The 23,446-nt window shown below is 38.7% G+C and overlaps 1 protein-coding gene across 2 annotated transcripts in view; it reads left to right on the forward strand.

The window, feature by feature from the left end:
* Positions 1 to 23,446, forward strand: part of PTPDC1 (protein tyrosine phosphatase domain containing 1) — a 79,044-nt gene that overhangs the window by 8,191 nt on the left and 47,407 nt on the right. The gene's annotated exons all lie outside the window — the stretch shown is intronic.

The following is a 23,446-nucleotide window of genomic DNA, read 5'->3' on the forward strand; positions in this document are numbered from 1 at the left end:
ACTCTTGAATTCTTTATAATCTAAGTCAAACTAAGTTATAATTTAGGATGGTCTTTAAAGAGCCATTCAGAAAGATAAAACTGTAGAACTGCTGTGTATTCGTGATTGGGAATGGTGCTTTGGCCAACTTAAAAGTAGAGAAGATATACACAAATTTTAAAATTATGTGTGATCATAAGACTTAAAATAACTGAAAAGAAAACCACAGATCATGAAAAATAGATAAATAAATTATCTCTGTTTGGAAATACTCAATTTTTTTATTCATTCTAAATGTCTTTATAGTCTATGAGAAATTATATACAAATAACTCAGGCCACAGATTAAATAAATATATACTAGATATTAAAAACAATGGTAGGAATGTGTTTTAAAATGTAGCATGAAAGTGTATTCCTAAAAATGTATGTAATAGTAGCCAGTGCAGCTATAGTCATTTGAAAATTGCATTTTTAGTCCCATAAAAGTAAAACATTGACTATGAAAATGTAGAAAATACCAATAAGGGTCGGGTGCTGTGGCTCACACCTGTAATGCCAGGAGGCCAAGGAGGGAGGATTGCTTAAGCTCAGGAATTCAAGACCAGCCTGGGCAACATAGTGAGACCTTGTCTCTACAAAAAATTTTTTAAATGAGGCAGGAGGATTACTTGAGCCTAGGAGGTTGAGGCTGCAGTGAGCCATGATCATGCCAGTATGTTCCTGCCTGGGTGACAGAGCAAGACCTTCCCAAAAACAAAAGTAAAATGAAAGAAAATACCAGTAAGCAGAAAAGAAACACAAATCATTTACAATCCCACCACTGTGAATATTCCATTAGTTTACTAATCTGTCTCTTTCTTAATCTATAGTAGATTCTGTTAAAAATGGTTATTATCAAAGGACAGCTCTCCTGTGTTTTTTGACCCTTGTTAAAAATCAAATTTTGACAAATTTTACTTAAAGATCTTTTATTAGGGATTCATGAATTGGGCAGCATCCCATCTAAAGACTTCAAAAGCCACTCCAATGAGCTGAACAAAGGAGGTACTTATAAGTAGAAAAAGGCCAAGGAAAGCAGAAAGAAGGAGCAAAAAACAGATTGGTAGTTACAAAGTTACTTTCCTTACAGGATTCAAACAAAGGAGACTTCTTTACCATGCCAGCTCAGGTAAACTGGGCCTCTACTGATTGCTGTGAATCTCTGGATTTTTGGAATATTGGCTCATTTTAGAGTTTGATTAATTACATTAATGAGTGACTCCATTCTGGTTTGGTCTGGCCAGTTGAGCCTAGTCCAAGTACTCAGTCCAAAACAATGGCCTCCCATAATTTTTATGTGACATCCTCTTTATTTGAATTGAATATGTATACATTAAGTATCTATTTTTAACCTATCCCATGAACAAATGGTCTTATTCCTGTTTTAAGATCAGAAGCTTTTATCCACCCTGTGTATAAACCACAGCAGATTTAATTTAATTCCAGATTAATTTCCCCTGGATACCTGTAGATATCTGGGCCATCATGTGTCTTTAATGAAAGGTATTAGTAAAAACTAATTTTTAAAGTTTGTTTTAGTCATTTGAGTAATAACAATAACAAAATAATAATAATAGAATAAATAACATATAAAGGAAAAAAGTCAGCCATACTCCCATCATTAGTATTTTGGTCAATCTGTTTCAGTTTGTATATATTTATTTTTACATATTTGTACACAATTTTGTATTTTACTTCCTTTATAGAAATTTTTACCATTTTTACCATTAAAAAGTTGATTTTTAATGCATTGCCAAGATAATGTTCTGCAGCTAATGCCAACACATATCTTTTCTAGCTCCTTTTACCTGAAGACTCCTAGGTGCTGACCATCCTGACTTGGGCAATTTATAGTATTCACTGTCATCATTGCTATTATTTCTTGAACACTTCTTATGTTTCTGATACTTTATATCAGTGGCCTACCTGAACAAGTTCTCCTTCACCATGTCCATTGAACATTATTATTGGATGGCTATCTCTTTCTTTCTACCTGATAGTTGAGTTAGTATTTTCAGCCCCCATGCTGACTGATCTCTACATCTTCCTTCATTCTATATGCCTTTTTTGCAAAAGTTCTATCATGCCTCCAACATAATCAGCCTTATCATGCCAGGATGTACAAATCAACTGACTCTAGTTCAGTGTTTTCTTTCCTTTGAGCAAAAGCTCTTTGAAAACAGAGATACTAAGCAAGGACCACAGGGAAGGTTTTCTTCTCTCTGTGATTAGTTGCATTTGTTGCCTGGTGCACATGGGGAAAGTATCGTCATTTAGATCATTTTCTTCTGTTCCATCTGATGCTGCCGTTTAGATAGTTCAAAACAGGGAAAACAGACTCCTGCTAATTACTTGCAGATTTTTAAAGTGTGAATGCCCTTAATAGCTTAAATTCTTATAAAGAGATTGTAGAATAATTATACTTTTAGCCTACACCTTCTAAATTCTCTTTTCTAAGTGATTATTACTTGGATCCGTGGTAGACCTCCCATGTAGACAATCAACTTAAAAATACCTCAAATTTGTAAAGATGTAGATAAAACTGAACTGTTTTTATTAAATTCTAGGTCTTCTGTTGCTGGCCAGTTTTAACTTAATACTGCATTATTTATTTTGTTACTCAAATTGTTTCCACTTTTGCCATTGGGAGCTCTTTCTGTTGCTTCTGCATCTTTTTGACATTCTCATCAGTCTCTGTGTTTTGAGCACTTCCCTACTTTTCTGGCAATACATGATGCTCCAGGCTCATCTTGTATATTCCCTGCTCTAGCCCTAAAATTAATCATTTCAACCAAGGATCCCTGGTTCCTTTTATTGGAAAATAGTATTAGAAACCAGATTTGCTCTGATATGCTCATCACTCTTGGAGTGTCATTGCTTTTAGGCCGTGTCAGTGACCATAGGTAGGAACTATATGTATGTATATTAATCTGTGTATGCATACATATTTTTATTTCTATGTTTACTCATCAGTGTCTATATTTAAGCTAAAGAGGATTTCACCCTGATGTCTTAGAATCTAACTGAGAACTACACAGTTTATTCTAACCTTTCCTCCTTACTTATCCGTAACCTCCCAGTCCATAGTGAGAAATCTGGCTCCTACCATTCACCATCCTTTTACTTATTTTTTCAATTCCAGTATACATATACAGCAGTATCAGAGCTATTAACCCATACTTCCATAAAAACTAACTACAGAACGGTACTTATGTACAGGGTTTTTTGTTGTTGTTGCTTTCTTTTACAGTTTCCATTCATTTCCAAAGTTTCTTAAACTGCAGTCTCCCCATCCCCTTCAGTGAGATTGTGTCATGTCATGCATTTATTATACAAGCATGCCTCAGAGATATTGCAGGTTGGTTCCAGACCACCACAATAAAGTGAATATCACAATCAAGCAAGTCATACAAATGTGGTTTCCCAGTGCCTATAATAGTTATGTTTTCACTAGACTGTAGTTTATTAAGTGTGCAGTAGCATTAGGTCTAAAAAAAATAATGTATATACGTTAATTTTAAAATATTGCTACAAAATACTAAGGATCAACTGAGCCTCCAGTGAGTTGTAATCTGTTTTGGTTTAGGGTCTTGCCTCAGTGGTGATGGCTGCTGACTGATCGGGATAGACTTCTGCTGAAAGCTGGGGTGGCTGTGACTGTTTCTTAAAATAACAATGACGTTTACTGCTTCATTGTTGACTCTTCTTTCATGAAAGATCTTTCTGTAGCATGTGATGCTGTTTGATAGCACTTTGCCCACAGTGGAACTTCTTTCAAAACTGGAGTCAGTCCTCTTAAACCCTGCCACTGCTTTATCAACCAAGTTTAAGGAATATTCTAAATCCTTTGTTTTCAGTTCATCAGAGGGCAGCATCTTCACTAGATGTAGATTCCCTATCAAGAAACCACTTTCTTTACTCATCCGTAAAAAGCAGTCCCTCCTTCATTCAAGTTTTATCATGAAATTGCAGCAATTTAGTCACATTTTCAGCTCCACTTCTAATTCTACTTCTCTTGCTGTTTACACTACATGTACAGATACTTCCTCCACTGAAGTCTTGAACCTCTCCAAGTCATCCATGAGGGCTGGAATCAGCTTCTTCCTAACTCCTGTTAATGTTGGTATTTTGACCTCCTCCCATGAATTGCAAATGTCCTTCATTTGTGATTCATAAAGGAGAGTTCCTGTTACTCTCCATCCTTGCCACTTTGATATTGCTAGTTTTTTTAAAAAATCCATTCTAATAGATGTGTAATGGTACGTATTATGGTTTTAGTTTGCACATCCCCTATACTGAGCATCTTTTCATATACTTAGTTACTATCTACATGTTTTCAGCAAGGTGTCTGTTCAGATCTTGTGCCTATGTTTTTTAGTAGAAATTTTAAAATATAGTATCAAAGTTTTATTTATAATTTAAAAATAATTATAAAGTTCAAACAATACAGAAATGTATAAAGGGAATAAAATAGGATATACCCTTCCTCTTTGCTCCACACCTAAATTTCTGAAAATGACTCCCCCCCTCTACAAAAAATACAATAAATGAGCCAGACGTGGTGGCGTGTGCCTGTAGTCCCAGCTACTTAGGAGGCTGAGGTGGGAAAAACACCTGAGCCCACGAGGTCAAGGCTGCAGTGAGCCGTGATCGCACCACTGCACACCAGCCTGGGTGACAGAGTGAGACCCTGTCTCAAAAAAATAAAAACTCATCAGCAAACCAAAGGTCATGTAGCTTTTCTCCTATATTTTTTTCTAGAAGTTTGATAGTTTCTGCATTTATATTTAGGTCTAAGATACATTTTGAATTAATTTTTATGTAAGGTGTGAGTGAGGTTGAATTCACTTCATATAAACATCCAGATGTCTTGCATCATTTGTTGAAAAAACTTTTCTTTCTCCATTGGATTGTCTTTGCACCTTTTTCAAAAATTAGTCGACTATATTTTTCTGGGTCTATTTCCAATCTCTCTATTCTGTTCCATTGATTGAAGTGTCTAATGTTTTGCCCCTCTATATTTATTGTTGTAGCTTTATATTAAGTCTTGAAATCAGGTAATGTAAATCCTGCAACTTTGTTCTTCTTTTCCGAGTGGAATTGGCTCTTCTAGCACCTTTCCCTTTTCATATAAATTTTAGAATAAGCTTGTATATGTCTACAAAATACCTGGCTGGGATTTCAATATGAATTTTATTACACCTATAGATCAACTTGGAGAGAATTAGCATCTTTACTGTGTTATCTTTCAATCAAGAACACAAAATATTTCTTCATTTATTTAGATTTACTTTAAGTTCCAGGGTACATGTGCAGGATGTGCAGGTTTTTTACATAGGTAAATGTGTACCATGGTAGTTTGCTGCACAGATCAACCCATCACCCAGGTATTAAGCCCAGCATTAGCTGTTCTTCCTGATGCTCTTCCTCCCCCGACCCCCCAACAGGCCCCAGTGTATGTTGTTCCCCTCTGTGTGTCCATGTTTTCTCATCGTTCAGTTCCCATTTATAAGTGAGAACATGTGGCCTGCATCAGTTTGCTGAGGATGACTTTGTATCTTGCAACCTTGTGAAACTCACCTGTGCGGGAGTTATTCAGTAGATTCTTTGGGGTTTTCTGCATCCATGGACAACCATGAAAGACAATTATGTTGTCTGTGAATAAAGAGAGCTTTCTTTCTTTCCAATCTGCATACCTTTCTCTTTTTTTTTTTGTCTTATTACACTTAGCTAGGACTTTTAATATGAAGTTCAGTAGAAGTGGTGAGAGAGCACATCTTGCCTCGTTCCTGATTTAAGGGGGAAACATCAAGTCTCTCACTATTTTTTTTCATTATACTTTAAGTTTTAGGGTACATGTGCACAATGTGCAGGTTTGTTACATATGTATACATGTGCCATGTTGGTGTGCTGCACCCATTAACTCGTCATTTAGCATTAGGTATATCTACTAATGCTATCCCTCCCCCCTCCCCCCACCCCACAACAGTTCTCGGTGTGTGATGTTCCCCTTCCTGTGTCCATGTGTTCTCATTGTTCAATTCCCACCTATGAGTGAGAACACGCGGTGTTTGGTTTTTTGTCCCTGCAATGGTTTGCTGAGAATGATGGTTTCCATCTTCATCCATATCCCTACAAAGGACGTGAACTCATCATTTTTTATGGCTGCATAGTATTCCATGCTGTATATGTGTCACATTTTCTTAATCCAGTCTATCATTGTTGGACATTTGGGTTGGTTCCAAGTCTTTGCTATTGTCAATAGTGCCGCAGTAAACATACGTGTGCATGTGTCTTTATAGCAGCATGATTTATAATCCTTTGGATATATACCCAGTAATGGGATGGCTGGGTCAAATGGTAATTCTAGATCTAGAACCCAGAGGAATCGCCACACTGACTTCCACAATGGTTGAACTAGTTTACAGTCCCACCAACAGTGTAAAAGTGTTCCTGTTTCTCCACATCCTCTCCAGCACCTGTTGTTTCCTGACTTTTTAATGATCGCCATTCTAACTGGTGTGAGATGGTATCTCATTGTGGTTTTGATTTGCATTTCTCTGATGGCCAGTGATGATGAGCATTTTTTCATGTGTCTTTTGGCTGCATAAATGTCTTCTTTTGAGAAGTGTCTGTTCATATCCTTTGCCCACTTTTTGACAGGGTTGTTTGTTTTTTTCTTATAAATTTGTTTGAGTTCATTGTAGATTCTGGATATTAGCCCTTTGTCAGATGAGTAGGTTGCAAAAATTTTCTCCCATTCTGTAGGTTGCCTGTTCACTCTGATGGTAGTTTCTTTTGCTGTGCAGAAGCTCTTTAGTTTAATTAGATCCCATTTTTCAATTTTGGCTTTTGTTGCCATTGCTTTTGGTGTTTTAGACATGAAGTCCTTGCTCATGCTTATGTCCTGAATGGTATTGCCTAGGTTTTCTTCTAGAGTTTTTATGGTTTTAGGTCTAACATTTAAGTCTTTAATCCATCTTGAATTAATTTTTGTATAAGTTGTAAGGAAGGGATCCAGTTTCAGCTTTCTACATATGGCTAGCCAGTTTTCCCAGCACCATTTATTAAATAGGGAATCCTTTCCCCATTGCTTGTTTTTGTCAGGTTTGTCAAAGATCAGATAGTTGTAGATGTGTGGCATTATTTCTGAGGGCTCTGTTCTGTTCCATTGGTCTATATCTCTGCTTTGGTACCAGTACCATGCTGTTTTGGTTACTGTAGCCTTATAGTACAGTTTGAAGTCAGGTAGCATGATGCCTCCAGCTTTGTTCTTTTGGCTTGGGATTGACTTGGCAATGCAGGCTCTTTTTCGGTTCCATATGAACTTTAGAGTAGTTTTTTCCAATTCTGTGAAGAAAGTCATCGGTAGCTTGATGGGGATGGCATTGAATCTATAAATTACCTTGGGCAGTATGGCCATTTTCACGATATTGATTCTTCCTACCTATGAGCATGGAATGTTCTTCCATTTGTTTGTATCCTCTTTTATTTCCTTGAGCAGTGGTTTGTAGTTCTTCTTGACGAGGTCCTTCACGTCCCTTGTAAGTTGGATTCCTAGGTATTTTATTCTCTTTGAAGCAGTTGTGAATGGGAGTTCACTCATGATTTGGCTCTCTGTTTATCTGTTATTGGTGTTTAAGAATGCTTGTGATTTTTACACATCGATTTTGTATCCTGAGACTTTGCTGAAGTTGCCTGTCAGCTTAAGGAGATTTTGGGCTGAGACAATGGGGTTTTCTAGATATACAATCATGTCATCTGCAAACAGGGACAATTTGACTTCCTCTTTTCCTAATTGAATACCCTTTATTTCCTTCTCCTGCCTGATTGCCCAGGCCAGAACTTCCAACACTATGTTGAATAGGAGTGGTGAGAGACAGCATCCCTGTCTTGTGCCCGTTTTCAAAGGGAATGCTTCCAGTTTTTGCCCATTCAGTATGATATTGGCTGTGGGTTTGTCATAGATAGCTCTTATTATTTTGAGATATGTCCTATCAATACCTAATTTATTGAGAGTTTTTAGCATGAAGGTTGTTGAATTTTGTCAAAGGCCTTTTCTGCATCTATTGAGATAATCATGTGGTTTTTGTCTTTGGTTCTGTTTATATGCTGGATTACATTTATTGATTTGTGTATGTTGAACCAGCCTTGCATCCCAGGGATGAAGCCCACTTGATCATGGTGGATAAGCTTTTTGATGTGCTGCTGGATTTGGTTTGCCAGTATTTTATTGAGGATTTTTACATCAATGTTCATCAAGGATATTGGTCTAAAATTCTCTTTTTTTGTTGTGTCTCTGCCAGCCTTTGGTATCAAGATGATGCTGGCCTCATAAAATGAGTTAGGAACAAAGACACAACATACCAGAATCTCTGGGACACATTCAAAGCAGTGTGTAGAGGGAAATTTATAGCACTAAATGCCCACAAGAGAAAGCAGGAAAGATCTAAAATTGACACCCTAACATCACAATTAAAAGAACTGGAAAAGCAAGAGCTAAAACATTCAAAAGCTAGCAGAAGGCAAGAAATAACTAAGATCAGAGCAGAACTGAAGGAAATAGAGACACAAAAAACCCTTCAAAAAATTAATGAATCCAGGAGCTGGTTTTTAGAAAAGATCAACAAAATTGATAGACTGCTAACAAGACTAATAAAGAAGAAAAGAGAGAAGAATCAAATAGACGCAATAAAAAATGATAAAGGGGATATCACCACTGATCCCACAGAAATACAAACTACCATCAGAGAATACTATAAACACCTCTATGCAAATAAACTAGAAAATCTAGAAGAAATGGATAAATTCCTCAACACATACATCCTCCCAAGACTAAACCAGGAAGAAGTTGAATATCTGAATAGACCAATTACAGGCTCTGAAATTGAGGCAATAATCAATAGCTTACCAACCAAAAAAAGTCCAGGAGCAGATGGATTCACAGCTGAATTCTACCAGAGGTACAAAGAGGAGCTGGTACCATTCCTTCTGAAACTATTCCAATCAATAGAAAAAGAGGGAATCCTCCCTTTATCATTTTTTATTGCATCTGTTTGATTCTTCTCTCTATTCTTCTTTATTAGTCTTGCTAGCGGTCTATCAATTTTGTTGATCTTTTCAAAAAACCAGCTCCTGCATTCATTGATTTTTTGAAGGGTTTTTTGTGTCTCTATTTCCTTCAGTTCTGCTCTGATCTTAGTTATTTCTTGCCTTCTGCTAGCTTTTGAATTTGTTTGTTCTTGCTTCTCCAGTTCTTTTAATTGTGATGTTAGGGTGTCAATTTTAGATCCTTCCTGCTTTCTCTTGTGAGCATTTAGTGCTATAAATTTCCCTCTATACACTGCTTTGAATGTGTCCCAGAGATTCTTGTATGTTGTGTCTTTGTTCTCGTTGGTTTCAAAGAACATCTTTATTTCTGCCTTCATTTTGTTATGTACCCAGTAGTCATTCAGGAGTAGGTTGTTCAGTTTCCATGTAGTTGAGCGGTTTTGAGTGAGTTTCTTAATCCTGAGTTCTATTTTGATTGCACTGTGGTCTGAGAGACAGTTTGTTACAATTTCTGTTCTTTTACATTTGCCGAGGAGTGCTTTACTTCCAACTATATGGTCAATTTTGGAATAGGTGTGGTGTGGTGCTGGAAATAATGTATATTCTGTTGCCTTGGGGTGGAGAGTTCTGTAGATGTCTATTAGGTCTGCTTGGTGCAGAGCTCAGTTCAATTCCTGGATATCCTTGTTAACTTTCTGTATAGCTGATCTGTCTAATGGGGATAGTGGGGTGTTAAAGTCTCCCATTATTATTGTGTGGGAGTCTAAGTCTCTTTGTAGTTCTCTAAGGACTTGCTTTATGAATCTGGGTGCTCCTGTATTGGGTGTATATATGTTTAGGGTAGTTAGCTCTTCTTGTTGAATTGATCCCTTTACCATTATGTAATGGCCTTCTTTGTTTCTTTTGATCTTTGTTGGTTTAAAGTCTGTTTTATCAGAGACTGGGATTGCAACCCCTGCTTATTTTTTTTGTTTTCCATTTGGTAGATCTTCCTCCATCCTTTTATTTTGAGCCTATGTGTGTCTCTGCACATGAGATGGGTTTCCTGAATACAGCACCCTGTTGGGTCTTGACTCTTTATCCAATTTGCCAGTCTGTGTCTTTTAATTGGAGCATTTAGCCCATTTACATTTAAGGTTAATATTGTTATGTGTGAATTTGATCCTGTCAAATTCACTAACCTGATGTTAGCTGGTTATTTTGCTCGTTAGTTGATGCATTTTCTTCCTAGCCTTGATGGTCTTTACAATTTGGCATGTTTTTGCAGCAGCTGGTACCGGTTGTTCCTTTCCATGCTTAGTGCTTCCTTCAGGAGCTCTTTTAGGGCAGGCCTGGTGGTGACAAAATCTCTGAGCATTTGCTTGTCTGTAAAGTATTTTATTTCTCCTTCACTTATGAAGCTTAGTTTGGCTGGATATGAAATTCTGAGTTGAAAATTCTTTTCTTTAAAAATGTTGAATATCGGCCCCCACTCTCTTCTGGCTTGTAGAGTTTCTGCCGAGAGATCCGCTGTTAGTCTGATGGGCTTCCCCTTGTGGGTAACCCGACCTTTCTCTCTGGCTGCCCTTAACATTTTTTCCTTCATTTCAACTTTGGTGAATCTGACAATTATGTGTCTTGGAATTGCTCTTCTCAAGGAGTATCTTTGTGGCGTTCTCTGTATTTCCTGAATTTGAATGTTGGCCTGCCTTGCTAGATTGGGGAAGTTCTCCTGGATAATATCCTGCAGAGTGTTTTCCAACTTGGTTCCATTCTCCCCGTCACTTTCAGGTGCACTAATCCGATGTAGATTTGGTCTTTTCACATAGTCCCATATTTCTTGGAGGCTTTGTTCATTTCTTTTTATTCTTTTTTCTCCAAGCTTCTCTTCTCACTTCATTTCATTCATTTGATCTTCCATCACTGATACCCTTTCTTCCAGTTGATCGAATCGGCTACTGAGGCTTGTGCATTTGTCATGTAGTTCTCGTGGCTTGGTTTTCAGCTCCATCAGGTCCTTTAAGGACTTATCTGCATTGGTTATTCTAGTTAGCCATTCATCTAATTTTTTTTCAAGGTTTTTAACTTCTTTACCATGGGTTTGAACTTCCTCCTTTAGCTCGGAGTAGTTTGATCATCTGAAGCCTTCTTCTCTCAGCTCATCAAAGTCATTCTCCGTCCAGCTTTGTTCCGTTGCTGGTGAGGAGCTGTGTTCCTTTGGAGGAGGAGAGGCGCTCTGATTTTTAGAGTTTCCAGTTTTTCTGCTCTGTTTTTTCCCCATCTTTGTGGTTTTATCTACCTTTGGTCTTTGATGTTGGTGACGTACAGATGGGGTTTTGTTGTGGATGTCCTTTCTGTTTGTTAGTTTTCCTTCTAACAGTCAGGACCCTCAGCTGCAGGTCTGTTGGAGTTTGCTGGAGGTCCACTCCAGACCCTGTTTGCCTGGATATCAGCAGTGGAGGCTGCAGAACAGCGATATTGCTGAACAGCAAATGTTGCTGCCTGATTGTTCCTCTGGAAGTTTTGTCTCAGAGGAGTACCCGACCATGTGAGGTGTCAGACTGCCCCTACTGGGGGGTGCCTCCCAGTTAGGCTACTCAGGGGTCAGGGATCCACTTGAGGAGGCAGTCTGTCCGTTCTCAGATCTCAAACTGCGTACTGGGAGAACCACTACTCTCTTCAAAGCTGTCAGACAGGGATATTTAAGTCTGCAGAGGTTTCTGCTGCCTTTTGTTTGGCTATGCCCTGCCCCCAGAGGTGGAGTCTACAGAGGCAGGCAGGCCTCCTTGAGCTGCACTGGGCTCCACCCAGTTCGAGCTTCTCGGCCGCTTTGTTTACCTACTCAAGCCTTGGCAATGGCGGGCGCCCCTCCCCTCGCCTGGCTGCCACCTTGCCGTTTGATCTCAGACTGCTGTGTTAGCAGTGAGTGAGGCTCCGTGGGCATAGGAACCTCCAAGCCAGGTGCGGGATATAATCTCCTGGTGTGCCGTTTGCTAAGACCATTGGAAAAGTGCCGAATTAGGGTGGGAGTGACCTGATTTTCCAAGTGCCGTCTGTACCCCTTTCTTTGACTAGGAAAGGGAATTCCCTGACCCCTTGCACTTCCCGGGTGAGGTGATGCCTCGCCCTGCTTCGGCTCATGCTGGGTGCGCTGCACCCACTGTCCTGCACCCACTTTTTGACACTCCCCAGTGAGATGAACCCAGTACCTCAGTTGGAAATGCAGAAATCACCCGTCTTCTGTGTTGCTCATGCTGGGAGCTGTAGACTGGAACGGTTCCTATTCAGCCATCTTGGCTCAACCCTCTTTAAGTCTCTCACTATTAAGTATGATATTAACTGTGACTTTTTAAAAATAGTCCTTATTAGGTTGAGGAAATTCTTTATCTAGTTTTGGTGTTAGGTTAATGCTAGCCTTACAGAATGAATTGGGCGATGATCCCTACTCTTCTACTTTCTGGGAGAGATTATAGAATTGGTATTATTTCTTCCTTAAATGTTTGGTGGAATTCACCAGTGAAACCATCTGAGTCTGTTGTTTTCCTTTTTGGGAAAGTTTCTTTTCTAATTTCACTACTAATTTTATTGCTTTATCAGGTATAGGATTATTCATTATCTATATCCCCTTGAGGGAGTTTTAATAGTTTGTGCACTTGAAGGAACTGGTCCATTTTATATAATTAATCACATTTATAGGCACAGATTTACTCATAGTATTCCTTTATTATCTTTTTGCTGTCCATGGGATTAATAGTGATAACCTCTTTTATTCTTGATACTGGCAATTTGTGTCTTCACTTTTTATTTTTTCTTGGTTAGTGGTCTGTCATTTCCTTCCTTCTTGCTTTAGGTTTAAATTCGTTTTCCTTAGTTTCCCAAGGAGGAAGCATAGGTTATTGATTTTAGGTCTTTCTTCTTTTCTAAAATATGCTTTTACTGCTATAAGTTTCTCTCTAAACATTACTTTAGCGGCATCCCATAAATTTTGATGTTGTGTTTTTAAAAATTATTTTTAATTGTAAAATACACATAACAAAATTTATCATCTTAACCATTTTAAGTATACATTTCAGTGCTATTAAGTACATTCACATTGTTGTGCAAGATATATATATACTTTAACTTTTACTTAGTTCAAAATATTTTTAAATTTCTCCTGAGACTTCTTAATCTATGTGTTATTTAGAAGTGTGTTGGGTATTTTTCAAATATTTCCAGTTACCCAACTATCTTTCAGTTATTGATTCAGTTTAATTCTGGTGTGGTCTAAAAATATACTTTCTATTATTTCTCTTCTTTTACATTTGTTCAGGTGTGTTTTATGTCCCAGATTGTGTTCTATCTTGGTGACTGTTCCATGTGCTCTTCTGCTGTTGGATGGAATGTTCTATAAATATAAATTAGATCAAAACTTAGTTGATAGTGCTGTTCAAGTCATCTGTATCCTTACTGATTTTTCTGCCTGCTTAATCAGTTACTGAGAGAAGGATGTTGAAGCCTCAACTATAAATATAAATATATAGTGGGTTTGTCTATTTCTCCTTTAGTTTTTGCCTTGTATTAATGAAGTTAATATTTTTAGTTCTTGCAATTGGATGTATGATCAATTTTGAGTTAATTTTTATATGTGATATAAGAGATTGAGACTCATGTTTTTGCCATATGGATTTTCAGTTGTTCCAGCACAGTTTGTTGGAAAGACTGTACTTTGTCTACCTCATTGTCTTTGCATTTTTGTTTGGGATTTTAAGAAAGCCATCCAGGTGATCTGATGGGTATCAATTAGGAATTGTTGGCCTTTTGTTGAGCTTCGAAGTGTCTTTGATAGTATCTTTGATTTGAGGTTGATTGAACCTATGGGAATAAGTTTCAATCAAATAAGCCACCTGTGGCTGCTTGTGGGAAAAAGGATGGGAAATATAGAAACCTTGGTTGTAAAAACCAGCTTCATCTATAGTTAACATCTTACCCATTCTTTATTATAATGTGTTTTCTTAAGGATCCAAATCAAATAGCCTATTTCTTTAAATGATGAAATAGCAGAGTTCCTGCTGAAGTGTTGTTTTTCCCCAATCTGTGATTAGTCTCCTGAGAGCCTTGGAGACTTCTCTAGGGTATATTTGAGGTGTGAAATCACAGAAGCCAGTGAAGGTAATACTGTAGTAAACTACCAGATATAACACATTTCTAGGTGGCTGTCACTCCTTTCCCCAGGACTAACCTTATCAGAAATGTTGAGGGGTCTGAAAAAAGAAAAGGGTTTTTTTTTTAATGTTGCCTGGCTTCCTCTGGGGTGATTTGGAAAAAAAAAGGAATTTTATATAGTCATGTCATTTTTTTAGGTTATAAATTCAGAGGTGAGGACATTTCAGTTTAAAAGAAGACTATTTTTGTTTAGTTTTACTACATAAGGTATCATAAGCAGTGCTTTAATTCTTTAAGAAGAAAATACTACAGTGGTATTAGGAGGCTGTTTTTATGGCATCCGAGCCACATAAACCTAGATACAATAAATCTTCACTCAACCCTACATGATGAGGGATGTGGGTAAAATATGTAATTGATACTAGGGAAGGCATCCTAAAGGAGAGAAAATTGGGCTGAGGGTTGAAGTTATTGCTATCATGCATCCGTATCAAGCCTCTGTACCTTCTGCTGAGAAGAAAACAAATCCAACCCTCAGGGAATGGGAACACAAATCTGTCACATAGAAAATGGGCAGGAAGTTAGAGATATAAATGTGATCAGGAAGAGTAAATAAGGATAGTGCTATTTCTTGTGTTTGTGTAGTGCCGCCACATAATTATATATGTTCTTAGCAATAACCCTGAGATGCGTAAGGCATGATTACTGTTCCTACCTTACAGATGAAAAAGCCGGCATTCAGAGAGATTAAGTGATGATAGTTTTGGTGGTGGTGGTGGCAGCTGCCTTTTATTGAATGTTTATGCAGGTATACATCCAACAAATACTGAGTAGCACTATGTGCCAGGTCCTGTTCTAGGCTTTGGAGATAAAGCAGTTGACAAAGCAGACAAAAAAAATCTATTCCCTCATGGAGCTTACATTCCGGTAGGACAAGGCAGACAATAGACAGGACAAATAAATAAAGTATATAATGTATTAGATGTGTTTTCTTCATAAGTCCTATGGAGAAAAATGGGAGAGTGTTTTAAATTTTAATTAGGGTGATGTGGAGGGTTTTGAAGAGAGGGGTGACATGACTGGCTGAAGTTCACAGGATTACTGTAGCTGCTGTATTGAGAATAGACTGACTTACATATTGGGGACAGAATTAGGTCTGCATATACATTCTCAAGTCATCTTTACAATGATCCAGTAGGGTAGGTACTAAGTCTCAGAGATATTAATAAATGTGCCTAAGATCACAAAGCTAATACGTGCCAACTCCTCTATTAAAATGTGTTGGGATTTTATAGTCTTACATTTAGACTAGCATTCCTGTTTCTGTTAGGAGATAGAAGGCTAAAATGTGTAAAGGGGCCACGTTCCTGATATTTGTCTGAGATAACAGTGAATAAAAATTTGGATTAAAAAATCAGTAAATTATCAATATCTGCACAAAGGAAAACAGATTTGGTAAATAAAATTTATGTGAGCCCATTGATTTGGACCGAGTTTCTACACTAGACTCTAATAGACCAAACCAAAATGGAGTCACTCATGCTACATGCCACATAATTAAGCTAAAACTTAAAACACAAACCAACAGGAAATCCCCAAATGGGCCAGTTTTCTAGGAAAAAGCAAAACAAAACAGGAGATTTGCAGCAACCAGTTGGAAGGGGCCCAGTCAACCTGGCCAGCATAAGGAACTCACATCTGCTTAAACTCATACAAGGAAAGTGACCAGAGGATAACCAGTCTGCTCTTTGTACTGGGCTGTTTCCCTGTTCCTGCTGCAGCTGCCTTATAAAAAGCCAATTGTCCTGCCACACACAGTGGAGCTCCATTCTATTTTGTAGAGCGAATATTATGTTGCCTAGTTCATGAATCGTGAATAAAAGCCAATTAAATATTTAAAACTATTTTTGTAAATTTTATTATTTAATAGGTCTTTATTGTTCAGAAACTATATGTGTAGTCCTTAACAGCACAAACTCTGGAGCTGAACTGTGGGAATTCAAATTCCAGTTCTAGTGCTTAATAACTGTGTAACTTTAGGCAAATTATTTGACTTTTCTTTGTCTTAGTTTCCTCATCTATAAACAGGAATAATATACAGAACTGAATACATGCTTACTATATAATCAGCAGTTGTGCTACTTGGTATTTACTCAGATGAGCAGAAAACTTAGGTCTACACAGAAATCTGCACATGAATGTGTATAGCGGTTTTGTTCATCATTGCTTAAACTTGGAAGCAACCAAGATGTGCTTCAATAGGTGAGTGGATAAATAAACTGTGATGTATCCAGACTATGGAATATTATTCACTGCTAAAAAGAAACAAGCTATTAAGCTATGAAAAGATATGGAGGAACCTTAAATGAACATTGTCCAGTGAAAGAAATCAATCTGAGAAGGCTACCTACTGTATGATTCCAACCCTGTGACATTCTGGAAAAGACAAAACCATGGAGACAGTAAAAAGATCAGTGGTTCCAACATGGCACATGTATACCTATCTATCAAACCTGCACATTGTGCACATGAACCCTAGAACTTAAAGTATATAAAAAAACAAAAAATCAGTGGTTCCCAGGGTTTCAAGGAGAGGGAGAGATTAATAGTTGGAGCACAGAAGATTTTTAGAGCAGTGAAATCACTCTGCATGATACTATAGTAAGTATCATTATACCTTTTCTAAACCCACAGAATGCACAACACAGAGTGCATTCTAAACCCACAGAATGCACAACACAGAGTTAACATAATGTTAACTATGGACTTTGGGTGATAATTATGTGTCAGCGTAAGTTGATTATAACAAACTTACCACTCTGTTGGGGAGTCTGTTAGGGGATGGGTATATGGGAAGCCTCTATACCTTCTGCTCAATTTTGTTATAAACCCAAAACTGCTCTAAAAAACAAAGTCTATTTTAAAAACAAATGGGAATACTAGTGGTACTCAGTAATGTGTGTTGAGGATTAGATGAGCTAAGATTATATAAAGCACTTGGAACAGTACCTGGCATGGTGTAAGCTTATGTGATTTAGTTATTATTATTATATTATTAATGAGCATAAAAATATTTATGTGGCTTTTATAGGTTCACTCATGTAGTTGGGCTTCCACTCCTATTTTTTGCTACGTAAGCTTAAGTTTTTCAACCTCAAATTCTTCTGCTACGATTGCTGTCTAGAATCTAATCACATTGACAATATTTATTTAAGTGTGAGCAGAGGGCCTCTTACGTCAGAATGACCTAGAGTGTGAATTGATAATACAGATTATTGCACTCCAGATTTTCATTTCCACAAGCACCCTGCGTAATCCTGGTGCATTCCAGAGTTAGAGAGCTAGTGCTGTGAGAGTCTGGGAAGGATTATACCACTTCTGACCTCCCAGGCACTGCTTAATGTAGTTCCCCACAAATTTGTCCAGAAAATACACATGTAGATTTTGGCAGAACACCATGTGTCTGAGAAATAGAAAGGAAAGTAGTGACCTAAGAATTCTTCAGTCCATCTCAGAACCTAGTCTCTTGTGTGAAATGACTTTTATGAAGTAGGACATTCTTTGTGTTCTACTGTTCTTAACAGTATGAGTAATAGTCCATTCCTGCACTTACGTTTTAAGTATTCAGTACTAATTAGTGAGTGTGTGGCTAATTATAAACAGTTGAGTCATTTGAGTGCTTTTAGGGATAAAAGGAAACTGTAGGACTGAGTGAGAAAAATATCTGTCATTGACAACAGGAAATAGAAATAAATAATATGCGATTTTGCAGTGAAATGACAGGGTTATTATTCAAACCCTTCTCTCCTGATTCTACAGCCAGGCATATGATATAAGTTCAGTTGTGAATGAAAATAATGTTTTTTAAGTCAAAGGAGCTTAGCCATTACTAACATTTTGTTTCTTTTTTGTTTTTGAGGCTAGAGTGCAGTGACGCGATTACAGCTCACCGAGGTTGCAGCCTCAACCTCCTAGGATCAGGTAATCCTCCCACCTCAGCCTCCCAAGTAGCTGGGACTACAGACATGTGCTACCATGCCTGGCTAATTTTTTTTTTAATTTGTTTGTAGAGACAGGGTTTTGCCATCTTGCCCAAACTGGTTTTGAACTCCTGGGCTCAAACGATCTGCCCACCTCAGCTTCCCAAAGTGCTGGGATTACAGGTATGAACCACTGCATGCAGCCCATTACTAACTATTAACAGGAGTGTTGGAGAGGTATGAATAGAATCCTTTACAAATTCTTATAAAGATGGGAAATGAAGTGAGTACAGACTAAGAAGGGAAAAAGCAAAAAGATATTGCGGATACTGGTTTGCAAAGTAAGATAACAAATATTTATTGAATACTTAAAAGCCAGGTGTTGTGGTAGGAACACACACACACACCCCTTTCTTCATCCTCACAACAACCAAAAAGAGTAAATATTATAGTCCTCATTTTATAGAAGAAATTGAAGCTCAGAATTGTTCATATAGCTGACAGTGAACAGAGTCAAGACTCAAACACAGAATTTCTGATTCTAAAATATAGTTTAACATATTTGAAATATAATTTTTGATCAGCAGTTATATACAGTTGGACTATAAATGAATGTTTTTATGCAAAGGTAATGCATATTAGGCACTATTTCACAGTTCCCCTGGGTTTGAGTTATTTGAAGATGGCCAGAAGGGATTTTCACTTCCAACCAAGATGAAATAAGAGAAATTAGATATTTATTAATACCCTTCTGCCTAAAACAACTAGAAAACTGGACAACATATATAATAAAATATCTTTTGGATTTTGGAAAGAAAGCAGCTGAGGACCTAGATCTCTGAGAGAAGAGAAACAAACACAGTGAGTTTACCTTTGCACCAGCTGTCTCCCTGGGGGCAGTTTCCAGGCTTCAGTGCAGGGAGGGGGACTAAGACAGAGCTTTCCCAGAGGTGTGCAGAGAGCAGAGTTCAGTGTGGCCAAGGTGGCTAGAATTTGCAGAGTCAGGTCCTGGAGATGTGAGAGCAGCACAGGAAGGTGCAGAGGGCCCTCAAGGCTTTGCTGGCCCAAGGTGTTTGGTTGAGTACCGATCTGCACAAACTTCTCTTTGGAGTAGGAATCCAAAGATCTCAGAAGAAAAATATCTTCAAAAAGCAAGTAGGTAGTATGATTATGATAGTATGATTAAGAAGCTGTGTTGAAGATATATATTACTTTAGTCAGTAAGAAAAAAGCTATTGGGCCAGGCGCGGTGGCTCACACCTGTAATCCCAACACTTTGGGAGGCTGAGGCGGGCGGATCACTTGAAGTCAGGAGTTCCAGACCAGCCTGGCCAACATGGTGAAATCCCATCTCTACTGAAAAAAAAAAAATACAAAAATTAACCGGGTGTAGTGGCATGCACCTGTAATCCCAGCTACTCGGAGGGCTGAGGCAGGAGAATTGCATGAACCTGGAGGGGGAAGTTGCAGTGAGCCGAGATTGTGCCACTGTACTCCTGCCTGGGGGACAGAGCAAGACTCTGTCTCAAAAAACAAACAAAAAAGCTATTAAAAACCCCGGACATTTTGGGAGGCCCAGGCGGGTAAATCACCTGAGGTCAGGAGTTCGAGACCAGCCTGGCCAACATGGCAAAACCCCATCTCTATAAAAATACAAAAAAAATTAGCTGGGCATGGTAGCACATGCCTGTAGTCCCAGCTACTTGGGAGGCTGAGGTAGCAGAATCACTTGAACCCAGGAGGTAGAAGTTGCAGTGAGCCGAGATTGTGCTACTGCACTCCAGCCTGGGCAATAGAATGAGACTCTGTCTCACAAACAAACAAAAAACCCAGGAAAGTCTATATAAGAAACATACTGTCCAAATTTACAACAAAACAAAATATGCCTTTATTTTAAGCAACTGTTGGAGTGAAAGAAAAGATAATCCATTTGACACTTATCCTTGCGATATCTTACTTAAAGCGTCACATAGTTTGGTGATACAAGATGGTAAAAAAAAAGTATGTGTTCACAGATTATATGTGTATATGTATTATATATGATAGTAATAACAATTGTATTTTGTCTCACATTTAGAATAAGCCTACAGACAAAGCTTGAGGAAATTATAGATTAACTGAAATTTAAAAGTTAAAAATCTTCATATAAAAATGGTATGGTTGGCAGAACTTGAAAGTGGAGGGGAAAATAAAGTGGACAGTAGTGTAAGTTAACTAATTTACATAGAGGGAATCAAGATACTGTTTAAAATTGATAGAACAAGAGATTGGTTAGAGGATATTCACCTTTAAAATTTACAAAGATAATCAGAATTTAAAATTACAGAGATAATCAGAAGACAAATATTTTGATGTATTAAATAGGGGAAGGTTGGCATGATGGAAAGTATGGTAAATGAGGCAGTTTCCTCATCTTTAAATCAGGAATTCAGTAGTATGGTTTAAAGACGGTAGCATAAGAACCGGAGGTCTAAGTATAGTGATTATTACCCCCAGCCCCAGAATAACTAAAGTGAGAGTTTAAATGGTCTACTTCTGTGGGATAAAACTTGGCTTGGGGGGATAGAAGGTGGAGACTTTTATTTTTCATTCTATACCATTTATTCACTTGAAACTTTCATATATGTTTAATTATCCCTAATGAATATCTTTTTTAGCATCAAAATATATGGACCAGCTTTATTCTTTGACTGTTGTTGTATCCTGATGTGTCTTGAGATTGCTGAAAATGCTAATGTGATAATAAGCCACATAAACTTTTCAGATAAGGAAGGTGACTGGTTTTGTTTTGATTTTTGATGATTGTTCCACATCTGGGGACTAGACTTCAGTTCTGGGCACTAGAATATTAATAACTATAGAGTATATATATAGAAAAGAGCATCCAAGCTGATGAGGAGATCTAGAAACATTACTTATGACAAAAGGTAAAGGGAACTGCTGATGTATCATCTGGGAAGCTATATATCAGAAGTGAGGGGAGCATGATCACTAGCTTTAGATATATGGAAGAAAGGGTGTATTGTTCTGTGTGAGCAGAAATAGGACCAGTGGGTAGAAATTACAGAGTGGTAATATTATAAAAAGCTTTCTGGCTACCAGAGCTGTGTAATGATGTCACTGTTACTGTTTAGACAAAGATATTGTGGAGAGTGTGCTCACATTTGGTTAGGATTCTCCGAGAGGAACTTCTGAGGTTCCTTACAACTTAAAGTTTCTGAAGGATTAGTTAGAAATAAGTCTTTAAAGTAGTCCATAATTGTAACCCAGAAGAGGACAATTAACTCAACATATACTTTTTAAATAGTCATTGTGTTAGTCTGTTCTCCCGTTGCTATAAAGGAATACCAGAGACTGAGTAATTTATAAAGAAAAGAGGTTTAATTGGCTCACAGTTCTGCAGGTGTACAGGAAGCATGGCAGCATCGGCTTCTGGGGAAGCCTCAGGGAGCTTTTACTCATAGCAGAAGGCAAAGCAAGAGCAGGCATCTTACATGACAGAAGCAGGAGGAAGGCAGGGGGAGGTGCTACACACTTTTAAACAGCTGAATCCCATGAGAACTCACTCACTATACACTACCAAAGGGGGATCATGCTAAACCATTCATGAGAACTCTGCCCCCACCCATGATCCAGTTACCTCCCACCAAGCCCCACCTTCAACATTGGGGATTACAATTCCACATGAGAGTTCGGTGGGGATGCAGATCCAAACCATACAATTCCACTTCTGGCCCCTCCAAATCTCATGTCCTTCTCACGTTGCAAAATACACTTATGCCTTTCCAACAGTACCCCCAAAGTCTTTACTCATTCCAGCACTAACTCAAAAGTCCAAAGTCTTATCAGAGACAAGGCTAGTACCTTCCACCTGTGAGCCTGTAAAATCAAAACCAGATTAGTTACTTCTAAGATACAATGGGGATATAGGCATGGGGTAAATACTCCCATTCCGAAAAGGAGAAATCAGCCAAAAGAAAGGGGCTACAAGCTCCATGCAAGTCTGAGACCCAGCAGGGCACTCATTCAACCTTAAAGCTCCAAAATACTCCATGGGAACACTGATGCAAAGGGTGGGCTCCCAAGGCCTTGGGCAGCTCGGCTCCTGTAGCTTTGCAGGGTTCATCTCTTAAGGCTGCTCTCATGGGCTGGCATTGAGTGCCTATGGCTTTTCCAGACACAGGGTGCAAGCTGCTGGAGACTTTGTCATTCCAGGGTCTGGAAGACAGTGGCCTTCTTCTCACAGCTGCACTAGGCAGTGCCCCAGTGGGGACTCTGTGTAGGGGGTCCAACCCCACATTTCCCCTCTGTGCTGCCCTGGTAGCAGTTCTCCATGAGGGCTCTGCCCCTGCAGCAGGCTTCGGCCTGGACATTCAGGTTTTTCCATATATCCTCTGAAATCTAGGTGGAGGTTCCCAAGCTTCAGCTCTTGCATTCTGTGCACCTGCAGGCTTAACACCACATGGGAGACACCAAGGCTTACGGCCTGCACCTTCTTAAGCAGTGTCCTCAACTGTACTTGGGCCCATTTTAGCTACAGCTGGAGCTGCTGGGGTGCAGGGAGCAGTGTCCTGGGGCTGCACAGGGCAGCAGGGCCCTGGGCATAGCCCACAGAACCATCCTTTCCTCCTAGGCCTCTGAGCCTGTGTTGGGAGGGGCTACCTGGAAGGTCTCTGAAATGCCTTCAAGGCGTTTTTCCCATTGTCTTGGCTATCAGCACTTGCCTTCCTTTTCGTTGTGCAAATTTCTGCAGCCTGCTTGAATTGCTCTCCTGTAAATGGACTTTTCTTTTCTACCACATGGCCAGGCTGCAAATTTTCCAAACTTCTATGCTCTGCTTCCCTTTTAAATATAAGTTTTAGTTTCAGGTCATGTCTTTGCTCATGCATATGAGCATAGGCTTTTAGAAGCAGCCGGGTGACTTCTTGAATGTTTTGCTGCTTAGAAATTTCTTCCACTAGATACCCTAAATTCTCTCTCAAGTTCAAAGTTCCACAGATACCTAGGGCAGGGGCACAATCCAGCCAAGCTCTTTGCCAAGGTTTAACAAAAGTGACTGTTGCTCCAGTTCCCAGTAAATTCCCCATTTCCATCTGAGACCTCCTCAGCCTGGCCTTCACTTTCCATATCACTATCAGCATTTTAGTTACAACCATTCAACAAGTCTCTAGGAAGTTCCAAATTTTCCCTCATCTTCCAGTCTTCTGACCCCTTCCCACTCTTCCAACCTCTGCCCATTACCCAGTTCCAAAGCTGCCTCCACATTTTCAA

This window comes from Homo sapiens, chromosome 9 (genome assembly GCF_000001405.40).
Source record: "Homo sapiens chromosome 9, GRCh38.p14 Primary Assembly".
NCBI classification, from domain to species: Eukaryota; Metazoa; Chordata; class Mammalia; order Primates; family Hominidae; genus Homo; species Homo sapiens.